The sequence below is a fragment of the Homo sapiens genome, chromosome 10 (assembly GCF_000001405.40).
Source record: "Homo sapiens chromosome 10, GRCh38.p14 Primary Assembly".
In the NCBI taxonomy this organism is placed as follows: Eukaryota; Metazoa; Chordata; class Mammalia; order Primates; family Hominidae; genus Homo; species Homo sapiens.
Genome location: NC_000010.11, coordinates 130,708,084 through 130,730,895, shown reverse-complemented (window position 1 = coordinate 130,730,895; position 22,812 = coordinate 130,708,084). Strand labels below are relative to the sequence as shown.

Sequence of the window (22,812 nt, the reverse complement as noted above, 5' to 3'; positions counted from 1 at the left end):
GCTGAATGCAGTGGCGCAATCTCCACTCACTGCAATCTCCGCTCACTGCAATCTCCGCTCACTGCAATCTCCGCTCACTGCAATCTCTGCTCACTGCAATCTCCTCCGCTCACTGCAATCTCTGCTCACTGCAATCTCTGCTCACTGCAATCTCCTCCGCTCACTGCAATCTCTGCTCACTGCAATCTCCTCTGCTCACTGCAATCTCTGCTCACTGCAATCTCTGCTCACTGCAATCTCCACTCATTGCAATCTCCTCTGCTCACTGCAATCTCCGCTCACTGCAATCTCTGCTCACTGCAATCTCCTCTGCTCACTGCAACCTCTGCTCACTGCAACCTCTGCTCGCTGCAATCTCTGCTCGCTGCGATCTCTGCTCACTGCAATCTCCGCCTCCTGGGTTCAAGCGCTTCTCGTGTCTCAGCCTCCTGAGTAGCTGAAATTACAGGCATGCACCACCACACACAACTCATTTTTGTACTTTTAGTATTTTGCCATGTTGGCCAGGCTGGTCTCAAACTCCTGACCTCAAGGGATCCACCCACCTTGGCCTCCCAAAGTGCTGGGATTACAGCCATAAGCCACTCTTCCTGGCCTATTTTTGTTTTCTGTAGCCAAAATTTGATATTGTTTGGATTCATTCTTTTCTAACATAACATGAATGCACCCCATCTCATTGCAGCTGTTATAGAGTTGGGTAAGGCATTGCCCTTTGTTCTCAGCTCCAGTCTTGCACTGCAGAAAAGCCACCAGCTCTGTCCACTGCAGTTTCTTCTAACAGATGGCACCCTGCAGCTGGCTCCCCACTTTGGTCCCTGAGCACAGCCTTCAGGACTGTGCCTATGGTGGGGCCTCAGTCCCAGGAGCCAGGTCTCATGGTGCATCTTGGAGGCATGGGACCAGGGGAAGGGTTGGTGAGCTGCTCCTCCTTGAATCCTTGTAGAGAGTCAGAGCCACCAGCTGGGCTAATGTCTGCAGCTCCCCAGAGATGCTCAGAGGCAGGTTGGTGGTGAAGGTAACTTAGGCCAATGTCCCCCACTTTGCACCACTCCTGTGCAAGGACATTTCAACAGTGTGCTGTCCTCAAGAGAAATATGCTGGGCACCTAGCAAGGTGGTAAGATAAAGAGGCAGTCTGGGCGTGGTGGCTCATGCCTGTAATGTCAACACTTTGGGAGGCTGAGGAGGGAGGATCACCTGAGGTCAGGGGTTCAAAACCAGCCTAGCCAACACGGTGAAACCCCGTCTGTTCTAAAAACACAAAAATTAGCTGGGTGTGATGGTGCACACCTGTAGTCCCAGCTGCTTGGGAGGCTGAAGGAGGAGAATCACTTGAACCCAGGAGATGGAGGTTGAAGTGAGCCGAGATTGCACCACTGCACTCCAGCCTGGGCAACAAAGTGAGACTCTGTAAAAAAAAAAAAAAAAAAGCAACATCAGCTGTATCTCTAGCCCTGAGTGAAGTTTCCGTGGGACTCTGGTAGGTCATCTGCTCTCTCTGGGATGACCCAGGAGGGCTCTGCATGTCTGTCAGTCCACACGTGGGAGGACCCTGGGAGGCCAAAGCTGCAAGCCAGGGACACGGGAAGATCTCTAGGGGAAGGAGTGGGCAGCACAGGCTCTTCTGAATAGATGGCCAACGATGGGTGCTGGCGAGGGAGGAAGGCACCCACACCAGGCCTCCTTTCTTGGGGAGCTGGGATGTCTCTTCTCCTGCAGTGCGTGCATAGGCCAATGGTCCTGAGGGCAGTGTGATGCATCCCCACCTGAAGCCAGGCCAGCTCCTCCACCACGAACACTTATGGGAGGGCATCGGCCTCCCTGCACCTCTTCCCCGTCTGCCCGGAGGCCCCAGCGGCCACTCCACACTGTGCCAATCCACACAAACCTCTCCAGAGCCCCTGGCGGGCTGCACCCAGCAGGACTTTGGTGCAGGGAGGCTGCGCTGAGAGCGGCAATCAGCCTGGTTCCAGGGTAGGGGGCAGGATTGGGGGCTGTGTCCTCCCTCTGCTGCTTTTCTGATTTCATGAACTTTTCGAGAGGAGCTATAGTCAAGCAGTTGACCTTCTCTGCCTGAATGCAGCTGAACTGGATGGGAGGGTATCTGTGAGACGCGCTTGCACTGCAGCTGAGGAGCCCGTGAACGTGGGCACCCTGCCCAGGCCACCCGCCCGAGGCCACAACCCCCGCGCGCTGACCCGACACTGCGTGCCCACTGGCCTCCAACAGAAGCCCAAAGCAGCTCTTAGTGTGCAAGTTACTATCACATAAAATCTCTTTCATTTGTAGAAATGGGCCCTGTTGCCCCAGCCTGTCTTTCTGGTTCTGTGAACGACTCAGGCACCCCAGTTAGCACAGATGCGTTTTTTCCTCTTTTCCCTACTGTGTGACCTCAGATAACCCTTAGGGTTCATAGAATTACCGTAGCCCTTATCATCAGTGTCACACGTGAGCGTCCTCCTCTGCACAGTGGGAGTGACATGTATTTCCCAGAACCCGTGTGGGAGCCGACACTGCCATCCTTGTGAAGTGCCTGCCAAACGCTGCTTGGTGTGAGGCAGACACTTAACCCAGGACAGGATGCTGAGCAGCCACAGGGAGCCCATCTCCTCTCTCCTGCCTGATTAAAAGCCCTGGGCGGGAATTATTTCTGTGACTGTCCCACCTGCCAGAGCTTCACAGAGCTCAGCGAGGCAGTGCTTGAGCCCTCTGAGTTGGACCAGTCAACCCAGAGCTGGCCCACCCTCCTGGGGGAGCCTGTTCTTCCCCCAAAGCTTCCCTCCAGGAGCACCCCCGGGAACTGAAATACTAACCTCCACCCTCAGAAAAGCACAGCTGCCAATAGCTGAACAGTGCCTTCAAAGAGGCTGCCCGAGCCACGAGCCCACCGTCATCCACTCTGCTTTGTTCACTTGGGGCCACGGCCTCTTCTCTATCCCTGGGCCTGGGCCTGGTCACTGAGGCATCAGCTCACTCTGTGGGGAGGGCCATGCCCCATTGCGGGGGCTCTGAGAGTTTTGCCACCAACTGCACTTACACACTCGGAGGATCTTGATTAAGTATCTACTGGATGCCAGACCTGAGCTACTGCCATGAGGTGGGCCCTGCATGGGATATTCAGGATCTCCCCCTCTAGAGGCTCGAAGCCTCATAACTGCTGAACTGTAGGGGAAGGATGGCTGGAGGGGAAGGACAGAAGCGTCGCATTCCTTGGCCTAACTCTAGGCCACGTGTGCCGGGGCTACACTGGCATTCATGCCAGGCCCTGCTCCCCAGGCCGTGTGAACTCTGCTGGCACAAGCCATCCCTCATATGCCTCTGGGACCCCTGAGCCCTCAGCGCGCGCCTTCATTGCACCTGCTCTGGGCCAACACAGCAGGCAGCAGACAACTCCACCTGTACCAGGAGCGACGCAGGCAACAAGCCGCCCTGAGGGACCCTCTGTAGGCTCAGAGATCAGCAGGGCAGGTGCTCGTGAGGGAGAACTGGCCACTAAATCTGCAGGCACCTTTGCTAACTTTGTTTGCCATGTCATCCTCAGGAATCCCTGAAAGGAGGCGGAATTACTTGCGTTTTACAGTTGAGAACATGGGTCTCAGCAGAACAAATCTCCTTATTCCACAGCCACATGGTACCGAGGGATGGCACTGGGATCTGAGCTTTAGCTGGCAAGCCCTGTCCCTGCGGTGCCCATCCTGATGGCCAGGCCCCAGCCGCCCCACGGAGGCGCCCGTGGAGTCTGCCCCTTGGTGCTCAGAGCACGCCCTCAGACTCATCAAGTTAAACCTCCTCGTTATGGTGCTTTTATAACTGGGCATTACTGCAGATGAAAAATTTTGAAAAGATAAAATAATTTTGACTCGATTTTGCTCTTGTCATTATGGAGAGCAATGAATCACTGAAACAATCGCGGGTGCCAGCCGTTTTCATTTCATGCATTGTTTCAGAGGGAAACGTTCACTCTGCACCATTCTGCAGCGTCCTGTCTGCTCTCAGGAGCACACCCTTTCCTGGCTGGCGTGGTGTAACGTGGCCGTGGTGGCACGCAAGAAACCCTCACCAGGAGGGGGCTTCAGAATGATGCCATCTTCTGTGCTAAACAGTTACTGAAAATAACAGGATCTGGAAAAGACACTTCTGTTAAATTCCCCAAATGGACTTGCCTGTGGGTCCTTTAGAAAACAGCCTGATGAGACCGTGAATTGGAGCTTAACTCTCCCACCTGCCTCAGGAGCTGAAATAAAAATGAGGAATGACTGCAATGCTGCTCCACTCAACTCCATTTTAATTGAAAATTATGTCTAAGATCGCTGCCTATCTGGACTTCACCTGTCTCCCTCTTTTCAGAGTGCATGGATTTATGCACCTGCTCATATTAAGAGCCTCACTATTTCCCATAAATATGCACGGGTTCCTGTTTGTTTGTACAATAAATATTACAAAGATCATAAGGAAATTAAAATGGAGCTTGAAGATGGCTGTCCTCCGATGATAAACTACATATGAATCATGTCCCCAAGAACTATTATCCCCAAACATCGGGGACCCTATATGAATATGTTTACTCCTTGGTTCTAAATTGCAGAAGAGAGAACCTCCTAATGGATTTATAGTTTATCAGTGAGTTTCAGGGAAGCGAGAGATGGATGGGTTCTCTCCAATAGTGTATTCATTTACAAACAATCAACCACTGTTCAATTTTGCAGTCTATTTGTTTTGGCAAACGGGAGCACTAGTTATAATTCACTTGGTTTTTAAAGATAAACATATTATCTACACAAACATAGGAACGACATTCCTGTAGATCAAGTTAATCAAGAGGTATTTATAGAGATGTTTTAAGGTAAAAATATCAGTTTTCCTTCTTAAGCATTCCATTTCTTTCTTGGGGACAGGGACATTTGTCTAAAGGTATAGATTTAAATAAAATTAGGTTTGCATTATAAATTAAATGGCTGTAAAGCGAAGCATGACTTGAGGATTGCTTTCGAATTGGGCAATGAAATAGCCAGTCCTCTTGGAATGCACCTGCACCTCTGCCGTGAGCAGCTCTGCCCTGACAGCGTAGCTGGTGTTGGAGGCTGAGAGCTGCAACAGCCTCACCTGACCCGGGTGGGGTGTGGAATGCCAGCCCCACACCAGCAGGCACACTGCTATGCTACTGCTGTGTCCCAGGGCCTGAGAGCATCCTGGTCCACAGTAGATGCTCAGTACATATTTGCTGAATCATCAAAGATGCAATGAAAACATTCCCACAAGGGACAATATTGGTTGAATCGCATGGGATAATAAATGGGGAGCATGACAGGCACCCCAAGGCCCTTAGGGTCAGCATCCAGCCCGGGCTCCAAACTGGTTCCACTGAGTCCTTTCTCAATAGACTGAAGCCAGTCCAGGTGTCAATCTCAAGGCTTTCTGAGGATCATCCTGGACTCAGGCGGAGACCGCACAGCAGCCCCTCCCAGGGCAGAATGCTCAGGAAGCTTGGCTGAGTATGGGAGTCAACTGCAGCTGCCAGAGCCTGAACCTGCCGGTGGACTGGTGACACCAAGACACTGCTCATGTGGGAATATCTGCTTTCCCTTCATCTATGTGACCTATCCAACAGGCTGCAGGCCCTATGCCCCCCAAAATGTGGAGGTGTCCACTTGGTATGCCTCAGACCAAGAGCTGGAAAGGATACTCTTGGGTGGCCCCATGGGCTAGAATTAAGACAGGTCAAGAGGGAGAAAAGGCCACTGGGTGGGATTAGGTTATAGCTGCGCTTTCAGCAGCCATCTCTAGTGGAAAGGCAGTCAGGCTCACTGTTCTGGGCGAGATGAGAGGACACACGTGCTGGAGGGGGTGGGATAAGGTGGGGGAGGAGCTCAGGGTTGTGGAGCATGTGGGTAGATCTGCAGAACCTGCCAGGCCTTTTGCGTGTTAGGGGCCCTCAGCCAATCTTGCTGAGAGTGTACTGGACTCAGGGGAGACCAATCCCACAGGTACACTATAGCCACCCAGTGCATCTTCTCCCAACAGGAGACAGATATTCCAACCTGCGTGAAAAAGATCCAGTTCAGGATGGAACAGGCCCCCTGTCCCAAATGTAGCTCCTTTGAATTTCCTCTGACCATGTCCCTCAGACTGTGTAACCTCCACTGTGCTAAATAGGAAAGATTGGGATTGCTGTGTAGTGGAAGGGACTCCACTTTACACATCTGCATGAGTCTAGCAGGAAGCAGATCTCTGGCAGATCAACATTTTAAAAAGGAATAGATGGGAGGACAAGGCGGGCTGACTGCTTGAGCCCAGGAGTTTGAGACCAGCCTGGCCAACATGGCAAAACTCCATCTCTACTAAAAATACAAAAATTAGCTGGGCAGGGTGGCGCATGCCTGTAATCCCAACTGCTAGGGAGGTTGAGGCACAAGAATCACTTGAGCCTGGGAGGCAGAGGCTGCAGTGAGCAGAGATCATGCCACTGCACTCCAGCCTGGAAGACAGAGTGAAACCGTTTAACAGCAACAAAAAGAAAAACTGTAGGAGGACATTTATCTGGGGGCCAGCTGGCAATTCCACCAAATGCCCATGGCTATTCTCACAGCACAGCTATGGGCAGCTTCTCTCCAGCCATGGCTTGGAGAGAAGAATGGTCTTGGGCACTGCCCACCATGCCACAGCTTCCTCCATATTGCATAAGGCTTGCCTCAGCAGGTGAGATGCTCATGCAGGTGGAAGAGCTAGGTGCAGCCAGCCTGAAGCACCTGCATTAGACACAACCCACCTGAAGCAGAGGGTCCACAGAGATGAGAGGTACTGCTGCTCTGGGCCCACCACTGCCTGCACCTTTCCCCGGTAAAGACCAAGAGGCACTCAACTGCCCAGCAATACCAGGACTGGAGCTCTGGCTTCCCTGTAGGAGACGAATGAGTAGCCAAGCCCAGGCCCACCCCTCCCTGGAAAAGCCTGCCTGGATGGCCTTCCACAAGGACCACCAGGGAGCGAGGACTGCTCCAGCCTGCAGGGAACCCTTCTGGTCCCTGCTCAGCCTCTGCTGCTGACCCTGGTTGATGCTCCCAGAGCCTGGGGGCTGCTCCATGTGCAATGAGATGGAAACCTCATGTCCTTGCTGCAAGAAAGATATGACTCAAGGTCATCTCACTGAATCCTCCTCCAGGTCCTGATAACTAGAAACCTACTAATTTCATTGTTTTTATATAACAAGAATCTGCAGTTCCAAGGGATTAATTAACTCCAGAATCACAGTTGCTAATTAATGGAGCCAGTTTTAAAGCTCTTACCCCAAATCCTACCACCTCCATGAAGAAATAAGACCTTTGCCTTATTAACCAGGAAAGCTTTGGGGTACAAATGGTCTGTGAATGAGTGATCTGGGGACAGGGATCACTTTTCAGAACTACAGGAGTTTATAGGAAACAAGATCTGTGACTGCCTTCCTGCCACACACACACACACACACACACACACACACACACAGTAAACCAAAAATAAAATTCTAAGTCCCCCAACTGACTGAATGGACTCCTCCTCTTGGCCAAAGGGATTCCAAAGCAACCTAAAAAATCCTAGTTCAGGCCATGATGGGAAGTGGGGGTTGGACTGCCTCGTTATACCTTCCTTCCTCTGGAATTCAGGCACAACTGACCAGCACTAATGTGAAAGCAGAGATCTTAAGACTGACAAAGCAGACTCTTGATAGCAATAAGGTACCACATTCTAACCTGACTCGAGCATAAAACCACATGACAGATAGCAGGCCCTGAAAGAAATCAAAGTATCTTACCTCAGGATATATTTTTTGACCTATTCTGAAATGGCCCTGCAAAGCTATCTCTTGTGGGAGAAATTTACATTCTGTGGAGAATCGCCTTCACTTCCAGGTCATTTTCCGATCCTGAAAAAAATTAACTGAGAGCCTAGCACCTTTTAAAAGTCTCAACAGGAAACATTTGCCACCTATTGCTTCTAAGGGCAGCCACCCAGGAGACTTTATCTAGATAATAAGAACATTGGTCTCTAAAATTCCTTATCTTAACCCAGACACTCCTTTCTACTGATTCCAGTTCTTTAGATAATAATTTAACTATTTCAGCCAATTGCCAATCAGAAAATCTTTGAATCCACCAGTGTTTTGGAAGCACCTGCCTCACCACCACTTTGAGATGTCCCACCTTTCCAGATGAAACCAATGAATACTTCACATGTATTGATTGATGTCTTATGTCTCCCTAAAAGGTATAAAACTAAGCTGCCACCCAATCACCTTGGGCAAATGTTCTCAGACCTCCTGAGGCTGTGTCATGGGTCACAGTCCTCACATTTGGCTCAGAAAAAAAATCTCTTCAAATATTTTACAGAGTTTGGCTTCTTTCACCAGCAACACACATGAACACACATGCACACGCAGACACACACACATTAGTGATGTTCACAATGGCTTCTCTGAACCCTAGCGTCTCAAGGTCAAAGAGCATCCCACCAATGACCACCTTTTCTGCACAGTCCTTTCAAAATAATGGACGGAACACGGCCGTGATTTGAAACGGCCTCCTCTTCGGCACTCTGTGGCAGCTCGTCATCCGCACGGTGCAATCATTTTGGCAGCTTCTCTAAAAGAAGGTTGCCCTTTTTGGAGTGTAGTTTGCAAAGTAAAACTGCTGAGGCATATTCGTGGGCTGAGACTCTTTAGGCCCCTTTGTCAGGAAGGACTGAACTGGGCTGCAATCGGCTCTTTATTCTGGTGTCGCCGCTGGGTGCCTCCCTCCATCCTTGCCTTCAGGCATCTGCGGCCATCTGTTCTTCCTTCACTAATTAGGACGTAGGAACTGTCTTCCCTCCGTTGCCAGGTAGGTACACAGAAATATGGCAAGTTGTGGCTCTGAGCAGAGCCTGTCCCAAGCCCAGGCCTGGCCACAAAACATCAGCGTCAAGACCAGAGGGGACAGGAAAACATAGAAATCAACACCTCTAGTTTTTATGAAAAACTTTATAAAGAAAGTTTAATTTAAAAATCCCTCTATGCTAAAGAGTAAATTATCTGTGAATTTTGCAAAAAAAAAACTGTAACCCAAACATCTAGGTAAATGGAATGGCTTCTGCGCACACACACACACACACACACACACACACAAAGCACACACATGTGCACACATGCACAAATGCACATGCACACACACCAAACACTCACAGGTGCACACACACATCTCCATGCCTATGAGACTAGGAGCCACCCACGAGCCAGACTCCCTCAAAACTCCACCCAATAATGGGAACAGGGACACCAGTGAATTTGATCAGGCCCTGGTGGCAAACATCCCCCTCAGGAAAGGCAGATGCTCTCATATGTTACTGAATTCTCTGGGTATCCTGGTTCCTAATCTATAAGTCAAGGTGACTAGTGGCAAGCCCTCAGAAAAAAAAAAGGGGATTTGGGTCCCAGACGAACAGCTCTGGGACATCCCAGCTGCCCACTTTTAATCTCTTCTAAGTGAGGAGAAAAAGCAGGCTTGGAGTAGAGGACATTAGTACAAGCCCTGGCTGTGGCTGGGCACCACCACTCATAATAGGAAAGTAGCAGCCAGCATGGTGGCTCACACCTGTAATCCCAGAACTTTGGGAGGCCGAGGGGCATGGATCGCCTGAGATCAGGAGTTCAAGGCCAGCCTGGCCAATATGGTCAAATCCTGTGTCTACTAAAATACAAAAGATTAGCTGGGCGTGGTGGCGCATGCCCGTAATCCCAGCTACTCGGGAGGCTGAGGCACGAGAATCACTTGAACCCAGGAGGTGGAGGTTGCAGTGAGCCTAGATTGTGCCGCGGCACTCCAGCCTGCACAGCAGAGTGAGACCCCGTCTCAAATACATACATACATACATACATACATACATACATACATGAAATAAAAAGATTAAAAATTTTTTAAATGAAAGTAGAAGTGATCATTTAAAATTCCTAATATAAATATTAGTTGCCTTAAAAAATAAGCCTACCTCAGCCTTTCTACCTGGTGGTGGTGTGTGGGGTGTCTGTTTGTGGGGTGTCTGTGTGTAGGGGGTGCAGGGGTATCTGCGTGGGGGCTGTTGGTGTGGGGGTGTCTTTGTGTGGTTATTGGTTTTTCCCGGCAGCCAGAACATGAATGTAGCTGGATTGTGTGGCTGGAACCACTGGGCTTCAAGAGAATATCATTTAAAAGTGATTTTTTTTCAAAGAGTATGATCGATGAAGAAAAAGGAAGAAAGCAAGAACCACCATGGGGAAGTTGGTTGCCCCAGAGAATAAAGTTTCCCAGTGTCTATTTAAAGTCTCATATTTGCTTCAGATAGTATTGAGTTGGGAAAAAACCCCAGGCCTTTCATGTGAAGCACGATTGTTGTAGTCAGCAGGTTGGTGAGCTCCGGCTCAGCAGGTGCGAGATAGCACTGAGCAATGGATCTCACTGATGCTCAGGAAACAGCAGGTAGAAATATCCCCCCATTTATACCTTGTGCTTATTGATTGTTTGCATGTTAAATAGGGATTTTCTTTCTACACATTAGGGAGATGTCCATGGCCCAGGCAGCTCTCTTCCTGAGGTTCAGTCTCCCAGAGCACTTCCTGGGAAGGCGCTGGAAACTCGCTTTCAATTCCAGAGCAAGGCATGCCCTGTGTGGATAGGGCTTACAACACTAGCCGAGCATAAAGTGATAAAGTAATAAAAAAGTGAAATTTGTTAAAATCAAAAATAGAAGAGGACTCTATTTGGTTGTACTTACTGATCAATTTCTACTGCAAATGTGAACAAACACAGAGGAAATGAATCCATATTTATGATGATCTTCAAGGGAAAAGACGAATGCCTCCCTTTGCACTGAGAACCAAGATGGGTGTTGTGCTGGCCAAAACTGAGCTCCACAGAAGTCGCTGCTGTGACCAAGTGACCCTCAGCAGGACTATTATTAACCACCCATGGTGGGCTCTTGCTGAAGAGGATGATAAGAGCTTTTACGTGTCGGCATGCCAGGTACTCCACAAGCCATTCTCTCTCTAACCCTCACAAAACCTCCATTTGGAAGTTACAGGAATGGTTACAGTTTATGGAGGAAACACAGAGCCAGCGTTGCTGTAACTGACCAGAAGGCTGCCTGCTGTTACCTGCTCCCACTGGAGTTTGCATACATGCACATGGAACCTGGAGGCTTGTCTTAGTCCATTTTCTGCTGCTATAACAGAATACAGCAGACTGGGTCATTAATATAGAACAGAAGTTTATCTGTTAATATAGAACAGAAGTTCTGGAGGCTGGGAAGGCCTCGAACAAGGTGACAACATCTGGGAGGGTCCCATCATGGCAGAAGGCAGAAGGGTGGAAGTGAGCATTTGAGACAGAGAGGAAATTAGGCCACACTCATCCTTTTATCAGGAGCCCACTCCTAGGATGACTAACCCATGAGCTCATGACCCCTTCGAGGCCACTCCTGGGATAACTAACCCATGAGCTCATGACCCCTTCAAGCCCACTCCTAGGATGACTAACCCATGAGCTCATTACCCCTTCGAGCCCACTCCTAGGATGACTAACCTATGAGCTCATGACTCCTTTGAGCCCACTCCTAGGATGACTAACCTATGAGCTCATTACCCCTTCAAGCCCACTCCTAGGATGACTAACCCATGAGCTCATTACCCCTTCAAGCCCACTCCTAGGATGACTAACCCATGAGCTCATGACCCCTTCAAGCCCACTCCTAGGATGACTAACCTATGAGCTCATTACCCCTTCGAGCCCACTCCTGGGATAACTAACCCATGAGCTCGTGACCCCTTCGAGGCCACTCCTAGGATGACTAACCCATGAGCTCATGACCCCTTCAAGCCCACTCCTAGGATGACTAACCTATGAGCTCATTACCCCTTCGAGCCCACTCCTGGGATAACTAACCCATGAGCTCGTGACCCCTTCGAGGCCACTCCTAGGATGACTAACCTATGAGCTCATGACCTTTTCAAGGCCTCACCTCCCAATACCGTTACAGTGGCAATTAAATTTCAATGTGAGTTTTGGTAGGGACCTTCCAAACACAGTGAAGCTCTTTCTCATCACAATGCCATTGCCTCTTCCTCCGTCCCAGCATGCTGATGAGGGAGTGAGTTTTTATACCTAATTTCACAGAGTTGTTTTCATTCAATTTGAAATTCATGCTTTGGGGTAGTTAAAATCTAGATATGTTATTGGAGCTGGAATTGCATTTCAAAGGAAGAGAGCTAGGAATGAATCACTGTCTATTTCAGCACAATCGTTAGCCTTATGTTCAAGTAGTGAAACATTCACTGGCCTCAAGTCAGCTTTGCCCCCGCAGACGCTCACTCCCGTGCTGGGTCTTTCTCACTGGCTTCATTTCCTTAAAACCACATGTCCTAACTTCCTCTGGCCCCCTCCAGCCATCAGCACCCAAAGGTCATCTTGCCAGCACATCCCAATGGAAATGCCTTGTAGACATTTTTATATTTAGTCTTGCCTTGGCTTATCTTTATCAGATTATTTTGTTGTAAGGATGATGTACGTGATCTACAAAAAATAAAAAATAAAATTTTCTTAACTCCCCTAGAAAACGTGTCTCCCCATCCTCATCTACTCCCCCCACTCCCTTCTCTTCTTCCTTCTCCCTTCCCCTCCCTCCACCACGGCTCTTACCACAGTAACTGCTCCCCTCAACTCCCCAAGGATCTGTTCTTCCCTTGCTCTCATTTCACTTCCTAGAACATGTTTCCTTTAGGTAGAAAAGCAGAAAGAACACACTTTAAAGTGTTCATCAAAACTTCAGACCCTTAAAAGGGTCCATCAAACTTCGGATCCCATTTGTCTATGCTTCCCCTAAATTCCAGGGTGTTTTCTATGGACATATTATAGGCATGGAATATCATGCTGGTTGCTATAGAATTTTATGCATGCACTGGCTTTAAAAAAAATGTTAAGGTATAAATTACACAGCATAACATTCACCCATTTTATGTGTACACCACAATGATTCTTAATAAATGCATCAAGCTGTGGAAACATCACCACATTGCAGTTCGGGAGCATCTCTGTCACCCCAGTGAGAGCCTCATGGGCATTTATAGTTCATCCTGTTCCCATCCCCAGCCCCAGGGAACTCCTAACTACTTCTGGCTCTGTAGATCTGCCTGTTCTGAACACTTCCTATAAATGGACTCATGTGATACGTGGTCCTGTATGTCTGGCTTCCTCTGCAGGGCGTAATGCTTCCGAGGTTCATCCACGCTGCAGCGTGTCGGCGTTCTGCTCCTTGGAATGCACATCCTGACTTCTCACCTGGTTCCCTGGTAGATGAGGACCTCCACCCAGCAGACATCATGCATGAATTCAGATTCAAAAAGAGTGGACAGCCGTCCTTCTTCCTTGCTAAGCCATGGCTCAGACAGTTCATTTATTTTCAAAGTTTTATATCTGTGTCTTTGCCATCTTCAGTGTAATGTGTTCCCATCTCTGGCTATTTCAGCCCTTTGCACACACAAACTTGGATTTTTAGAGAACACCTAATTGCTCCTCATGCTTGTTTCAAGTTGATAGTAATAGCTGTGCTTCCCGCTGAGGCCACAGGGCTCAGTAATGAGCTCCCTCCCTCCGTGCTGTGCCTGGAGGATCAACTGCAGTTTTAAGTAGGGGCTGGCTCTGTGGCATCAAATGCTGTTACATAAAGCAGAACTAGGGAAATGGACGACAAGGCCAAAGAGGGGATATACACATCTGTGTGTTGAGGTACATGTATATGAGTGCACGCACGCATATGCCCGTGTGTTTTTTACGAGAAGAGAGCCAGGATTCAGTGTGGAATAAGACATGCAATTCCTGAAAATAAATCTTTTTCAGCTATAGCAATGGTCCCTTGGATGGTGATGATGCAAAAGTGCGATCCATCATCAGCCTGGCCAATTTCTAGAAAGGCAGCTGTCCCCAGGGCAAGGAGGGCCAGGCACAGCCATGGGGCTCCGGAGCCCCATCTTGACCCCAAGGGAGCAAGGGGATACACAAACCCTTAGGGGAGGCTGAAGGGGAGGCTTCTTTCTGTCTGGGGCTTCCTGACCATCATCAGTCAGGGATGCTTTGGCGTCCAGAGTGGGCAAGGGAATCACGAGCTTTTAGCTTGCTGCCCTCCTGTGTCACAGGTCCTAGGACGGCTCCCAGCAGCAGCTGCTACAGGAGGACATGCCTTCTGGTCTAGGAGGTTGGGAAGGTTCCAGAGCAGCATGCATAGGCTGCAGATCCTGCAGGGCAGGGGACAGCACCCCTGGCTCCTGGACCGTCGGGGCCTTTCCTCAACCTGTAGGGGCTCCATGAACCTTAGCTCTGGTTCAGCAAGCAGGGGCTTTAGTAGGAAAGGCAGCCATGAGCCCGAGGGCTTGGGGGTGGGCAGAGAAAATGACAGAGACCATGAGGGTCTGGGTGGCATCCAGGAACCCCGCCCAATGGGATATGTCCAGAGGCAGCCAAGGCTGGTCCAGAAGACCTGGTGATGGGGCAGGTTCTATCCCTGCCACCTGCATGACTTTGCTGCCCACAGGAACACTTCGTGAAAGATGGTGTCCAGCTGCTGGCAGGCCCTTTGGGGACAGGGAACAGCAATCCTTACTTGTACATCAGCATCAAGCCCACACAGAAAGCACCAAGTCCACATTGGGGACACACCACTGTCCTTTCCTGAGTGCCCAGTGACCTGGAGTGTCTAAGAACAAGCCCACAGGTTGGCCACTGTGCACTCACATGGCTGGCCCCTCCCCAAGTGCCCAGCTCTCAGAATGTGCTTGCTGGCACAGAGGATTTTAAGAAGGGGAAACACTTCTGTTACAAACTGTGCTGGTAGATGCATGTCAATGTGCATTTGTCAAAACCCCCAGAACTGCAGAGCAAAGAGGGAACCCTGGTGTCAGCTGTGGTCTTCAGTGACTCATAGCATATCAGTGCAGGTTCCTCAATTGTCCCAAATGTCCACATGAATGCAAGATGTCAAAACAGGGAAAGCAGTGTGTGCAATGGGGTGGGTAAAGGGAACGCTATGTACTATCTCAATTTCCTGTCAACCTAAAACCGCACTAAAGGCCGGGTGCGGTGGCTCACGCCTGTAATCCTTGCACTTTGGAAGGCCAAGGCGGGTGGATTACTTGAGATCAGGAGTTCGAGAGCAGACAGGCCAACATGGTGAAACTCCATCTCTACTAAAAATACAAAAATTAGCCAGGCATGGTGGCGTGCCTGCAATCCCAGCTACTCGGGAGGCCAAGGGACGAGAATTGCTTGAACCTGGGAGGTGAAAGTTGCAGTGAGCCGAGATTGCACCATTACAGTCCAGCCTGGGAGACAGAGTGAAACTCCACTTCAAATAAATAAATAAATAAACTGCACTAAAAAAGGTAAAGTCTTACTTATTTAAAAATGGTAATTTTGTAAAGTGCCTGCTGAATCACTGAGCAGTGCCCACCCCGCCAACAGGTGAATGTGGCTCCTGTCCCCAGAGTGAGGGAGATCTGGTTTCCAGCCTGCCCTCGGGGTCGAGAGAGAAACTCTTGGGGAGCTGCCCAGGTTTTCTAGGTCCCTCTGCTGGGTCGTCAGGCATTTGGGAACTATTGTTTCTTTCTGTTTCCTTGCGGCCCTGGGTGAGTGGATTGTGTGGGAGGTTAACACAGAAACGCGTGCAGGGCCAGCCTCCCCATTGTGGGCAGATCAGCAGGCTGCTTCCGAGACGAAGCTGATTGCAGAGCTCCTTTCCTAATTGGTCTGACCCGGGTGGCAAGTCAGGTGCTCTCTGGGAAGAAATAGTGTCTTAGGGTGCACTAATTCTCCTTCCCAGAGATTAAGACGCACACTCCCAGCGCTTTTCGCATTAACATGCAGCTACAAATGCATCAGTTATCTCATCAGCATCCTCCCTGCAAGGCCTTTCTCTCCCTGCTGCCTTGTGGATGGCGTGTGTGACTCACCTCGCGAAACAGCAGAGGATGAGGACTCTAGTGAAGAGCAGGCAGAGCTGGGCTGGGGAAACCTGTACACCCATCCCCAGAGGCCTTCCTCAGCGTGTCTTCACGCAGTAATTGAGACAAACTGTAATCAGAAAAGTGAACATTCCGGCACCTGGGCGTCCTGGTAGTGGGTAAAGGTGGAGAATCTGGCTCAGTCCTCAGTGTCCCCCAAGTGCTTTCTCTCCTTATCACCACATGACGGATGGTAAAACTGACACTCAGAGGGTGTCAGTCTCCTGCCCAAGGTTTCAGGGCAGATGAGGCAGAGATGGGCCTTGACCTACCCAGACTGACTTCAAAGCCATTGCTCCATCCTCCCTGCCTTTCCAGATCACTCCTTGCTGTGGTGCCCTGGACCCAGGGCTGCCCGTGTGCTCACTCGAGGGAAAGGGCTGCAGGGAGTGGCCCTCACCTGCCCTCCCTGGACAGGGTGGCTCCGGGTGGACAAAAAGGAAAGGGGGGTGGTTCCCACCTCTGTCTCCAGCCAGACCACACAGCTGCCCCCTCCTGCTTCCCCGAGTGCCTGGCAGCTGCTCAGGCTGCCCTGAGGTGCCGTACCAGGCTGGGCTGGGTGGTACCCAATTGTTCCAGGAGTGGAATGACGGGGAGCATGGGCTCTGAGTCGGTCAGCTCCAGCTCAGGTCTCATGCCTCCCTCTTGCTGATTGGGGATAGTGACATTTCATTGACCACGTGCCCGTGGGAAAGTTACATCACCTTTCTGTGCCTCAATATCCCCACCCCTTGAAGACTCTGTCCCATTCCTTGGCTCAGGCTCATTCGTTGTGGCTAAAGAAACCCCAAAAGAGGCCCCCGAGGTGGCAGAAGGTGCCTCAGTGATTCTCGGGTCCTCTGGGCATGCGAGGCACTGTGTGCCCTGAGCACAGTCCCCGTCTGGTGTCCTGCTTGACCATCTCTGCTTTAGTAGCCTGTCCCATGGGTTGGCCGGGAGTCAGTACGCTAATGCAGATTCATCCATGATGAGAGGGGGTCCCCCTTCTGCCAGGCTAGGGGGTCCTCCTTCTGCCAGGCTGGGCGGTCCCAGGTCAGGAAAAGGGAGCAGAGGCAGTGACTCCCACTTGCCATTTGGGTACCCCCACCCCTGCAGAAGCCCACCCTGCTCTTCCCCACTGGGCCTACCTTCCCAGCCACACTACCATTTTCCCCCTCCCCTCCTTACACAAACGGCTTGCCATAGAGGAAGCCCTGTGCAGGAAGACAGAATCAATGCTTGCGACAAGCCAGCACCATCCGGTGGAGGAAGCAGACCTTGTATCTGCTCGGACCGCCTTCTCTTCACTCTCCCCCTTGTCCTTCTGTCCACACAGGTTCAGTAGAGAGGAATCCGTCACATTTGATCGCAGTGGGCTTCCTGTATAATTGTCTCCCCAATCAGTCAGTGAAGGTGGGACTGGCAGGTTGGCCTGCCTGGATGCTTCGTAAATAAGTGACCAGTAACACATATGAAAAGAAGGAAGGGAACCAGAGCCAGACAGAAGTTAAAGCAGAAAAGCAGGTTTCATTCAGGAACTACCGCAGTGGGGGCAGTGAGACCTGGGTGTGCAACTGGGCTGCATTCTAAACATAGCAAGAACAAGTGGGGTTTACAGCCAAGGAGCTAGGGCAGAAGGGGCAGTGCCTGGAAAATCTCTGAGAGGAGGCCTCAGGGGTAGGAGAATTCTTGCCAACCTGGCCAAACAGGATTCTTGCCAAAGGCGGGCCAGGATGAGCAGACACTGAGAGTGGGGGAAGGACTCTTATCAAAGGTGGGCCAGGATGAGCAGACACTGAGAGTGGGGGATAAGGATTTGATCAGGTATGAAGGGTGGAAGCTTCTCTCTAAATGGACTTAGCGGGGTTCTTGCTGGAATGAGACAAATCAGGCCCAGCAAGGATGGGGACCAAGGCCACAGCCTAGTCAAAAGAGAAGCCTGACTAAAGTCTGATCAAGGAGAGTATCCTTTCAGTGGGAAGAAAGGAAGGAAAGAAAAAGGCAGAGGAAGAAAGGAGAGAAGAATAAAAGGAAAAAGAAGAAGAGGGAAGAAAAGCACTGTGGATAGGATTAGTGAATTGACGGGTTCGCTGGTTGATGGATTCATTCATTGATGGATTAATTAATTAATGGTTTAGTTAATTGACATAAAGCAATCAGTACAGTGCGTGCCACTTGGAAGGAACACATGGTTGGATGAATGGATAAAAAAAGAATGAGTGAATTAATGAAATGAACAATAAACTAATAAGAACATGTCATGTCTGCCTTACAAGCAGCAGATTCAGAAATAAAATAAAAGGCGACAAAAATTAAATATCTTGTCTATTAATTTATAAATTAGTCAAATCTGACTTTTTAAAGAAGTACCATCACTTTGACACCAATTATATTTACACGGGGTCATAAGCACTTAAAGATGGTCATTGCAAAAAATTTTTCCCTGATTCTGATTCAGAAAGATTTTCAGCCTCTCTCAAATGTGGATGACATGCATCATCCAGAAAAGCATCAGGTGCAGATATGCTGCATCCCAGCTGTGTCCGACGCCAGGTCCTTGTTCCATGTAAGTTTCCATGAGGAAATCGACTCTTTTTTTTTTTTAATCTACATGTTTATTTGAGGAAGACAGAAGGGAAGGGAAGCCAGCGCCTCCTTTCCTTGTTCTGATAATGCACTTAGGAGGCAGCGTGCAAGCAGCAGGGAGCCCTCCCCTTTCTTTACAGAAGAGGGCTAGAAATGGCCACTCCATGCATGGAAGGATGCCCCGTGTCGTTAGTCAGAGGGAGGCATGTGAGGTACCACTCCCTGCAAGAAGGGTAGGTGTGTGGAGAAAGTGGCATGCTCATACCCAACTGCAGGTGCAACCACTTTGGAAAACAGCTTGGAGTTTCTTATAAAAATCAAGCAAACAACTACCATTCAACCCAGCAATTCCGCCCTAAGGTATTTACACAGAGAGATGAAAACATATGTGCACACACAGGCTTGTGCAGGAATATTAATAGCAGATTTCTTTACAATAGCCTCAATCTGGAAACCGAGAAAACACTCATCGAGGAGCGGGAGACACCAACTAGGGTGTATTTTACAACAACTCATCTATGGAATGAAGAAAACAACCACAACATGCGCACAGCAACACAGGCTGCACTCACAAACACTCCGCTGCACGCGCACAGCAACACACAGTGCTCTCACAAACACTCCACTGGGTGAAAGAGACAGGAAAACACAAACACTCAGATGCACAGAATGCATCTATTCCGCTGATTCTACAGCAGGCAAGACCAGGCAGCAGGGACAGGAAGAAAGCCGCAGTCGCCCAGGACAGGGGGTGAAGGTGAGAGTCCAGAGCACTGGCTGCAAAGGAGAAGCAAGTAATGCTCTGGAGTAAACACTTGTCAAAATTCATCAAATTGTCGCTTATCATGAGTGTGTTTCATTGTATGGAAGTTACGCTGCACTAAGGTGATTTTGAAAGCAGGCTGTCTAGAGCGCAGCGGTGGCTTTGGGAACTCCCTCCAGGCCCTACCACCCTACATCCAGCAACCTTACATCCGTTCAGGGACACGCCCTCCCTGCAGAGCACCGCTGCCCCACCTGCCCTGCCCTCTGCAGGAGCCATGCATCCCAGCCTGTGGCTGTCCAGCCCCAGAAGCCTATTGTCAACTGGTCCAGCATCTGGCTGCCTGGCCAACTGGGGCTGGAGCTCGGAGCCTGCCCGGCGCTGGCTTCGCAGAGAACACTGCTGTTTCTCCCCCTTCCCCTCCGAGCAACGCATGCTCCCAACAGAAATTTGTGCTCACCCCGTGAGCTATTTTCGTTTGCTGTTTTGGTGTGTTTGTGTGTGTGTTCATCTGGATAGATAAGCCAAATGTGAATCGGCTTTGCACGTAAAAGAAGTGCAAACCCTTGCCCAGCAGTGGAGGAGGTCGTTTTTCTGGTTCCCTGTCCAGACCCTCACAGCCCCTCTATGGGCTGACCTCCATCCTCACCAACCCCCAAACACACTTCAAAGTGCTTCTCTAACGGGGCTACAGATGGCCTCCTCTGAGAGCTGCCCTGGACACCAGCACCATCTCCCCTGCAGTGGCGCCCACACTCCACTTGCCCAGAAGACCAGCGCAGCCACGTTTCAGCCAAAAGCCAATAAAAAACAGAGCGGGCTCTTCTGCCAGTGTGTTTTCAAGGTCATGAAAATCCCACTGTTTTGACCAGGATTTCTTTGTGATTTCAACTCTGACTCGAGGGATTTGAAACATGGGTTTTCAGACTCTGGAGGTGCTCGGGAGACACACGTGTTCCCTCCGCTCCACTGTCCTCTCCCTCCCGGGTACCACTTGCTGTGCTGAGGCTTGAGATCCTGCCCAGGTGCAGCACAGCCTCCCTCCTACTCTGAAGGCTCCTCGGCCCCATCCCTGCCTGTGGCAAACTCGCCTGGCCACCAACGACCACTCTCGGCCATGTAGCCCCATGCTGGCCGTGCTGCCTCTCACGGTCAGCAAAAGAATGGTCCCACCAAGCCTCAGTGAATCCATGCAAATGTGAGCAATCCAGGTAGTTTTAAATCATGGGCTGGCACACCTTTCCTGGAAAGGTGATTATGGTCTCTGCCACACATCAAAGCCATCCTTAGCTTGCAGGCCATACAAAACAGGGCTAGATTTGGCCCATGGAACCCCCACCCTCAACCCCACCTGGGGAGGGGAACGTGAGTCCTAGTGCAGGAAGGACTTCCTCTGCAGACCCCAAGCCCAGGCAAGCAACTTGTCTGATTTCTCTTTCACCCACAGATAACCGAGGTGCCACAGATGCTAATTAGCCAGCCCAGATTTCAGAACCGGCAAGTGGGGGCACCTCCCACCATGAGGCAGCTGATCCACTTAGGGTGACCTGTCCATGAGCACAGCCACGGGCTGTGGGGCTCTCAGAGCCAGGAACAGAGGAGGTTTTGACCCTGGTCTCCTCTGATCCTTACCATAGCCCAGAGCCCAGGAGGGCAAGTCACTCCCCAAGGCCTGTCTGCCTCCTGGACAGTGAATGTCACTGCTGTGCCACCCTGTTTTCCTATAGGGCAGAGAGTGGGAGGCAACAAACAGCATGGCCAGCCTCCTTCACTGTCCTTCCTCACTCAGAACAGACCTGCCCTGGCTGCTGTCACCGTCCTGCTTAAAACAACCAGTGTGGAAATAGTGCATGCACCAGTCATTTCAGACCCAAGGAAAAGGATAACTTCTGGGTGACCCCATGGAACCCAAGGTCAGCTGCCCTGCTGTACTGGCATGCATGGGAAGGCTGCAGGTGCTGCAGGCAGCGGCTCCAGGCCCAGAGAGTCCAGGTGTGTGGCTCCTGCCTTAGCACAGACCTGGCAAGCAGAGTCCACAGGTATTTGGGATTACTCTAATTTAGGCAACTTGTATATTTGCTGCTTGGAGAATAAACTGTCAGTTGATTCTAAATGCTTAACATTTGGAAAGTCAAACCTTTCCTAGGGGTTTGATGTGAAAGTTAGGCACTTTTCTCTGGAGACAACAGAAGTGTCCAGGCCTGTGCCTGCTGCTGTCAGGTGGCCAGGGATGGCAGGCTTCGGTAAGCATCAAGGAATCTGCACAGTGGAGGCTTCCACTGAGGTGCAGCAAAACATCTCCCCAGTGGGAGGCTGGAGTCCAAATCCAATTTAGTGGCGAAATACAGCAAATATCAACAGGAACAAAGAGTGAGATCCCAGGCCCAGAACAATCTGAGATGGGGCCGGGCAGTGCCCTGACAGGTGGGCCAGGGTCAGACAGCGGGGTCCATCTTTTGACATCATCTACGTCTCCTTCACATCAGAAGAAATGGCCTTTGAATGTGAAACTGTCTGAAAACAGTTGGGTGACTCCACAGCAGTCCCTGTAAAGCAGCTACAATTCTTCATTCTGAAATAGGTACATTTTTCAACTCAGCTGTATTTTCAGCTGAACCACAGAATGCTCTCAAGGCCAGACAGGAAAATCTTCCTCAGGGGAATTATTTAGGTTTCCACAATAATACTGAGCCATTTTTGATCAGCCTTTAGCCACGGCAACTTTCCCTGGCTCTCAGTGGGGAGCCACAGATGGGCCTCGGGAAACTGACAAGAACAGCAGCCACCACCTACGGTGCACCTTGTGCGTCTCTTCAGCCACATCAGCTGATTCTCACCACCATTGCCAGGCCCAGCGCATGCGGACTGGAGCAGAGCCAGGCCCACTGCATGGGCAGAGGAGCAGAGCCAGGCCCAACACACGCGGACAGGAACAGAGCCAGGCCCAACGCACGCGGACGGGAGCAGAGCCAGGCCCAGTGCACGCGGGCGGGAGCAGAGCCAGGCCCAATGCACGTGGGCGGGAGCAGAGCCAGGCCCACTGCATGGGCACGGGAGCAGAATCCCTCCCTGGCCTCAAGGAGCTTGCAGTCTTCGATCCACCAGGAAGGGCCACATCTGAGGGGAGGAAGCGGGAATGGGCACGACAAGGAGATGCTCCCTGGGCGGCAGCATCAGTGAAACTCCCCACACGGCACAGGAAGTGCAGCACCCATGAAGAGAAACTGCCTTCATTGGATTCAAACTCATCCCCCCATAGTGGGCCAAAAGGAGCTTTGGGAAAATCACCCCTGCTGGCATTATTCCAAAAGCCAGACAGAATTCTGGAAAATTCTTCCAAAACCAGCAGTGGTCACAAGGTTCCCACAGAGCCCCCCCCACCCCTCCCATAAGAAAGCACAGCTCAGGACAGTGCCTCAGGTGCCTACCACCAGCACCCCAGCTTGGACAGCCTTGCT

At 50.6% G+C, this 22,812-nt stretch overlaps 1 annotated feature.

Moving 5' to 3' along the window:
* Positions 10,777-11,976: an enhancer, noted in NCBI's record as "P300/CBP strongly-dependent group 1 enhancer chr10:132517184-132518383 (GRCh37/hg19 assembly coordinates)". NCBI's record gives its function as "activates an origin of replication core promoter dependent on BRD2, BRD4, P300/CBP, MED14 and CDK7 cofactors, with strong dependence on P300/CBP, by STARR-seq in HCT116 cells {active_cell/tissue: HCT116}" and the evidence as "EXISTENCE:reporter gene assay evidence [ECO:0000049][PMID:35650434]".